The sequence below is a fragment of the Homo sapiens genome, chromosome 7, assembly GCF_000001405.40.
Source record: "Homo sapiens chromosome 7, GRCh38.p14 Primary Assembly".
Taxonomy (NCBI): Eukaryota; Metazoa; Chordata; class Mammalia; order Primates; family Hominidae; genus Homo; species Homo sapiens.
Genome location: NC_000007.14, coordinates 153,455,499 through 153,463,429, shown reverse-complemented (window position 1 = coordinate 153,463,429; position 7,931 = coordinate 153,455,499). Strand labels below are relative to the sequence as shown.

At 42.4% G+C, this 7,931-nt stretch overlaps 1 annotated feature.

The window, feature by feature from the left end:
* Positions 4,835-6,034: an enhancer, noted in NCBI's record as "P300/CBP strongly-dependent group 1 enhancer chr7:153154481-153155680 (GRCh37/hg19 assembly coordinates)". NCBI's record gives its function as "activates an origin of replication core promoter dependent on BRD2, BRD4, P300/CBP, MED14 and CDK7 cofactors, with strong dependence on P300/CBP, by STARR-seq in HCT116 cells {active_cell/tissue: HCT116}" and the evidence as "EXISTENCE:reporter gene assay evidence [ECO:0000049][PMID:35650434]".

Sequence of the window (7,931 nt, the reverse complement as noted above, 5' to 3'; positions counted from 1 at the left end):
AAACTAAGAAAGTAACCATTTTAGAGTAGTCTACCCTTATCCCTGGAGTATATGTTCCAAGACCCCCAGTGAATGCCTGAAGTACCAAACCCAACACATACTATTTTTCTCCCATACATACATACTATATTAGTCTGTTCTTATGCTGCTAATGAAGACATACCATTGACACATGAGGATTATTACAATTCAAGGTAAGATTTAGGTGAGGACACAGCCAAACCGCATCATTCCACCCCAGCCCCTCCCAAATCTCAGGTACTCACATTTCAAAACCAATCATGCCTTCCCAACAGTTCTCCAAAGACTTAACTTATTTCAGCATTAACTCAAAAGTCCATAGTCCAAAGTCTTTTCTGAGGCAAGGCAATTCCCTTCCACCTATGAGCCTGTAAAATTGAAACCAAGTTAATTACTTGCTAGATACAGTGGGGATACAGGCATTGAATACACCCATTCCAAATAGGAGAAAGTGGCCAAAACAAAGGGGATACAGGCCCTATGCAAGTCCAAAACCCAACAGGGTCATCATTAAACCTTTAAGTTCCAAAATGATCTCCTTTGACTCCATGTCTCAAGCCCGGGTCATGCTGATGCAAGAAGTGGGCTCCCCTGGCATTGGGCAGCCCCACTCCTGTGGATTTGCAGGGACAGCCCCCTTCCAGCTGCTTTTGCCAGCTGGTGTTGAGTATCTGTGGATACATACAGGTCCAGGCATACAGTGCAAGCTGTTGGGTCTGGAGGACAATGGTCCTTTTCCCACAGCTCTACTAGGTACTACCCCAGTGGGGACTCTGTGTGGGAGCTCCAACCCCACATTTCCCTTCTGCACTGCCCTAGCAGAGGTTCTCCATGAGGGCCCCACCCCTGCAGCAAACTTCTGCCTGGACATCCAGGCACTTCGATACATTCTCTGAAAACTAGGCAGAGGTTCCCAAACTTCAACTATTGACTTCTATGCACCCGCAGGCTCAACAGCTGTTGGAAGTTGCCAAGACTTGAGGCTTGTACCCTCTGAAGCCACAGCCTGAGCTGCACCTTGGCCCCTGTTAGCCATGGTGGGAGCAGTTGAGACACAGGGCACCAAGTCTCTAGGTTGCACACAGCAGGTGGGCCTTGGGCCCAGCCCACAAAACCGTATTTTCCTCCTAGGCCTCTGGGCCTGGGATGGGAGGGGCTGCTGCAAATGTCTCTGACATGCCCTGGAGACAATTTCCCCACTGTCTTGGTGATTAACATTTGGCTCTTCATTACTTATGCAAATTTCTGCAGCTGGCTTGAATTTCTTCCCAGAAAATGGGTTTTTCTTTTCTACTGTACTGTCACGTTGCAAATTTTTCAAACTTTCATGCTCTGCTTCTTCTTGAACACTTTGCCACTTAGAAATTTTTTTCCACCAGATACCCTAAATCATCTCTCTCAAGTTCAAAGTTCCACAGATCTCTAGGGCAGGGGCAAAATGCCACCAGTCTGTTTGCTAAAACATAGCAAGAGTCACCTTTATTTCAGTTCCCAACAAGTTCTTCATCTCCATCTGGGACCATCTCAACCTGGACTTCATTCTCTATATTACTATCAGCATTTTGGTCAAAGCCATTCTAAATCTCTAGGAAGTTCCAAACTTTCCCACATCTTCCTGTCCTCTTCTGAGCCTTCCAAACTGCTCCAGCCTCTGCCTGTTACCCAGTTGTAAAGTCACTTCCACATTTTCAGGTATCTTTACAGCAGCACCTTACTCTACTGGTACAATTTACTGTGTCAGTCTGTTCTCATGCTGCTAACAAGACATACCTGTGACTGCGTAATTTATAAAGGGAAGAGGTTTAATGGACTCACAGTTACACACGGCTGGGGAGGCCTCACAATCAAGGTGGAAGACAAAGGAAAAGCAAAGGAGCATCTTACATGGTTGCAGGCAAGAGAGCATGTGTAGGGAAATGCCTGTTTATATAACCATCGGATTTTTGTGAGGCCCATTCACTACCAAGAGAACAGTATGTGGGAGACTGCCCCCATGATTCAACTGTCTCTGTCTGGCCCTGCCTTTGATACGTGGGGATTAATACAATTCAAGGTGGGATTTGGGGTTGTGGAGAAATAGCCAAACCATATCACACACATAGGATAAAATTTAATTTATAAATTAGGCACAATAAGAGATTAACAACAATAATTAATAATAAAATGGAATGATTATAATAGTATACTTTAATAAAAGTTATGTGAATATGGTTTCTCTCAAAATATCTTTTAAAAAATATTTTAATTTCTAAATGACATATTGTACATATTTATGATATAGATATTAATTGTATTACACATCATAAATAGTAATCAGATAAGGGCAATTAGCATACCCATCATCTCAAAAATTTATCATTTCTTTGTGTCAGACATTCAATATCCTCCTAGCTATTTGAAACTATATATCATTGTTAACTATAGTCATCCTACAGTAATGTAGAACACTAGAAGTTATTCTTCTTATCTATCTATAATTTTGTGTTCTTTAACAAATCTCCCCCTATTTCCCCTTCCACCACCCTTCCCAGCCTCTAGTATCCAATGTCTTACTTTTTGTTTCTGTCAGATCAACTTTTTTTTTGGCTTCTACATATGACTAAGAACATGGAGTTTTCAACTTTCTGTCCTCATTTATTTTTGGATCACAGTTGACTTTGGGTAACTGAAACTAAGATAACCAAAATCATGGATAAGGGGAGACTGCATATATATAAATGCATTTTATAACATCATGTTGTTTACCTTAAATATATACAATGAAATTTATTTTAAAAATACACCAATCATTAACATGACTTGCCAGCCAAATGCATTGGACAAGTCACTTAATCTCTCTGAGGCCTTTCTCATCTCTTAAATAGATATAATAGTATGTACTTTGGAGGATTATTGAGTATATTAAATGATGTTCTACATATTAAAATCCCCCAACAAAACCTATTTTACAGTTTAGGCCTTTATAAAATTTAATGAGCAGATACATGGGCGGGAGGATAGATGTACAGATAGAAAGTGTTCTTTCTAAAATCAAACTTAACTACTTACTAAGGATATACAGAATGTCTTGGGATATTGTAAGAAGGTATGACTCATGCCAAAATGTTATTTGAATTGTTTGCAATATATCCTTTTCTATACCATAGGGAATGAGTTCTCTAACTTCTGTATCTGCTGCCTAATGTACTTTTTTCTCATTATTTTGTCCTATGGCTTCCCAATTGTTCCTGTTGTTGTGCTATTTTTCGATTTTAAAACATTCATGTTCATTTTTTCCATCGACTTCATAACTTTAGAGACTTTGATCATCCTTACTTTTCAGCCTGGTTTTTCTAGCTTGAAAACTTTTGTTCTTTGTAGTTTATCCTTATAAGACAGCTTTCTTATCCCCTTGATCATTTGAAATTCTCTTCTCTGAATCATCTCCAATACCATTATGTCTTCCTGATTGGCAGCTTAAAAGACATGGAGGATGGGAGGGAGAGAAAACAGAGGAAAGTAAAATCAGTCTTGAAATTGATGTTCTGAAAATATGAACATGCGTTAATTGCCAATTGAGTGGTAGACCCACTAATGTGCTTTCCCCAACCCTTCATATTCTGATAGAATATTAGAGTTGGGAGCTCACTTAGAGAGCACCTAGACTACTCTCTCCACTTGCTCCATCATAAGAACCACCTGGGCCATTTGTTAAAGGTAGATTCCAAGGACCCATGCATTGTCGAATATGGTGGCCACTGGCCACTGGTGGCTGCTGAGCACATGACATGTGGCTGCTTTGAATTGAGTTGTGCTACAAGTGTAGGAAACGCAATAGATTTTGAAGACTAAATGCAAAAGAAGAAGGCAAAATAACTCATTACTACTTTAAATTAGTTCTGTGTTGAAATGTTGAGATTTCAAATATAGTAAATTAAATACAAGATATTAGAATTAATTTCATCTATTTATTTTTACTTTTCAAAAACTATAGCTGCCATAAAATTTGAAATTCTATGTGTGGCTCACATTGTATTTCCACTGGACAAGGCTGGTCCAGACATACTGAATCAGAGCCTCAGAGCCTCCAAGGGAGCCGCTTCTGCTCACCAAACATTCCTGGGGATGCTTATGACAAAGGAATTTGTGTGTGTGTGTGTGTGTGTGTGTGTGTGTGTGTGTGTGTGTGTGAGACAAGATCTCACTGTCACCCAGGCTGGAGTGCAGTGGCGCGATCTCAGCTCTCTGCAAAACCCACTTCCCAGGCTCAAGCCTTCCTCCCACCTCAGCCTCCTGAGTATCTGGGACCACAGATGTGTGTCACCACACCCAGATAATTTTTTGTATTTTTGGTAGAGACGAGGTTTCACCATGTTGGCCAGGCTGGTCTCGAACTCCTGAGCTCAAGTGATCTCCCCACCTCGGCCTCCCAGAGTGCTGGGATTATAGGCATGAGCCACTGTTCCTGGCTGTGAGGAGGAAATTTTGAGAAACACTGATAACACAAAACTCATTTGACAAGTGAGGAAATTCAGGTTCAAGGAGTTTTGTCACCTTTTCCAAAGTCATACCGAAACCACTAACGGAAAGGCCCTGGAATCAGACTTTAACCTTATCACAGAAATGTATTCCCGTTTTGCTCACAGCTGTATCCCCAGGGCTTAGGACAGTATCCAGCATCAAGTTCTTTATTAACATATGTGGAATGAATGAGTGAATTAACGAAGGGGGCCATTTAGCCACAATACTTGTGAAGCAGACTGCATAATTTCAGTACCACAACAAGCTGGTCTGCTTTGTTCTGTTCTTGAGGCTGTAAATAGCAGCACTGAGCAAGGGAAAGAATAATACATTATAGGTCATCTAGAAACTACCCATTCCTTGAAAAAACACAACAAAAGCCACTTTAGCATCTGCTGGAGAGCTTCTTTTTTGCATGCAAACCTGGCATCCAAGTCATCCCTTGGGTAAGTGTCTAAGGAATGATTTGTGTCACTAAGAAACAATCTCCACAGGTTTTGTTTGTTTGTTTGTTTGTTTGTTTGTTTGTTTGTTTTTTAAAGTCCACTTGTTGGAAATACTGCCTTCTCTACTAAAAATAGATGAGAAATGTTTGTTTGTTCTAAACTACCTAAGCTGTTCAGAACCCAGGGGTTCTGCTCCCCACTCCCTGTGGGGCTAATGGTTTCTATTTTTAATCTCTGTTGTGTGCAGAAAGAAAAACAGTGTTGAAAGAAGGTACTTTTCAGATAAACTGTAAATATGCTCTGGCTTCCACACGTGGATGTGTCAGAGCAGCGCACTTTGCAGAAATCAGGAATGACAAGAAAACAACTGCATTTGAGTCACCCAACGATAACAAAAAACAAAACCTAATTACTTGCCTCGTCCTCTGTGTCCTATAAATTACTCAGCAGGCAGTGCCAAGGAGGAAGCACAATTTCATAGCATCATTATGAAGTGATGGAACAAATCTTCCGTGTGGGCAAACATTTAGTAAGACGGGAGAGTGACTCACAGACCTTTCTGCCCATTGTTACAATCAGTCCCCACCTGCCTCTCCATGGGCTGAAATAATCCGTTGTCACGCTACTGCAGAAAAATCTAATTGCAACCTCCATCCACCAGCCCCTCTTGAATTGCTCAAAGGCTTAGCTTTAATTACATAACACTGGGAGAGAGAAGCAGAAAAGGCAAAGTCTGTGTTCAGCCTCTAGAAAAGTGGAAATTGGTGGGAGGTCACATGCCTAGTGGTCTGAGGGTCTGGGAACCATCTGTCGTGTCACCTGGAAAACTTATTCCAGTACATATTTCCAGGGCCCACCCCAAACTCGAATCACAGTGTGAGTCCCAAGAATCAGTATTGGTCCCCCAAGTGATGCCTATGCACACGAATGTTTGAAAACCATGAGTCCAGAATCATGTCAACCACACCTAATTTTTTCAAAGTGGAACTGAATTATATGGATGAATAAATGAAAGTGTCACATTCTTTACCCATTCCAGTACACAGGACTCTTTCTTCCAGCATAAGACTCTCCTCCAGAACCACAGCCCGGCAGGACACTCTATGTGGTAGCAAGTTCCCAGAAGACAGCCTGGCTGAAGAGCCCGCATTTCCAGATTCCTTGATCTGCACCAGAACTCTGCAGTCTTCATTGGAGATTCTGCTTCCGCCAACCACTGTCCAAATCAAATACAGCTTGTTTCCTACTTGGACCCTATTCCCTACCTGGCAGACCCTCCACAGACCAGTTTAGTTTCTGCCATGGGCAAGCCTTCCGCTATCCTGCAAGGGGTGCTGCCACAACCATGTGCCTTGTGTCGTGCCCTTAGACATGCTAGTGCTCACCACGGATGAAGAATTTCAGAGATACAAATGATCCAGGAATGGAATCATATTAAATGTGTGCCTCAGCTGAGTTCAGAAGGTTGGTGGTGACCGTGTAAGGGAGTGGAAAAGGCATTCAGGGTGTAGGATACAGAAAAGAGCTGGATGTCAATCAGAGAGCAAACCACATATGGAAGAGCCGAGAGGAGCCCTTGCTGAGGTCACTGGACAGACAAGGCCAGGAAGGAAAGTGTGGTCAGTTGTTGATTTTTCTTCAACTTCATCCCTGCCTCACTAGCTCCTATGGCTGACGCTTCCAAGGCTGAATGTAGGTGCAAGGGCATCAGGAGAGAAGGTGCCTTTTACATTTACAGGGAAGGTACAACTGTTGATTGGCATTGGTGCCCCCTGGGTTGCATAAACAACTCTCCCTCCTCTATCTCCCCTCCTCCTTTGTGTGTGTGCATCTCTCTCTGTCTCTCTACCTCTGCCTGTCTCTCCATCTTTGTGTTTCTGTCTTTCTCTGTCTCTGTCTCTCTATCTCTGTCTCTTCCTCCTCTTGTGTTTCTACATTTCTTAAGATTCTCTGTCCTTCCAACTGAGAAACGCCTCATCCCAGCTGCCCCCACAATTCTCCCCTTTGCCCCCGAGTGTCTATGGACCACCTCCCTCTCAGGATTCCTCTCTCCCATGGTGATCTTCCTGAAATGGATCATTTTGAAGACAATCCCCAGGCATCTCCAAAAAGAAGAATGTTCAGAAGATCCGCAGCTCTGTGTTGCTGTCTGTGGAGATGACGCTTGCTCACAAAAACCACTCTTCTTGGCTTTGCTGCTGGCCATGGAGCTGCAGCCGCATCCTCTCTCTTTGAGCTTATCTGGGGATCAGACGACAGGCTGTCGATTCTGTACACTCCAGGGGAAATTTCTGCAGCCTCCACGTAGTTTTCTTGAATTGCCTTTCAGTCATCATGAGGCAAGAATAGCACATCCCATTTTCCCCATCCCCGTGGCAGTGGTGAGGCAGCCAAGTGGAGGGAAGTGTCCGATTATTCTGAAAGCCCTCCTCAAAGGAATTTCCTTCCTCAGCCTCCTCAACCTCACCTTCTCACAGGGGATGGAGGTGAAACATTAATGGTGCACAGACACAGCCAGCTTTAGTTGATTCCTCAGGCAATGCCTATATAACCATCTAGCTCTTCTCCTTAAAATGTGGCAATACAGTTTTTTGTTTCCAGCCCAAACTGATGAGTCTCATTTTACTAACTTTTTTCTCATCTACAATTATAATTCAAGGTGATATTTATTTTAAGAGAAACATGTATATATTGCCATAGAATTATGATGTAATCCAGGAGAAAAAATAGGAGGGAGTGTCTCACCTTGTCTGGGACAATTAAGGAAATCTTTTCAAAGGAAGTGATACTTGAGCTGAGTTTGAAGGTTGAATAGGAGGCACTGGGCTTCTGCGTGGAGACAGGGACAGGTGCTATTCTAGGTTTAATGTTACCAGATACTTCCCTTTCATGTTCTTTAGCTCGTATAAGAATTCAAAAATCATTTCTAGAGCTGCCACACACTAAATGTCAGATCATTTGTAG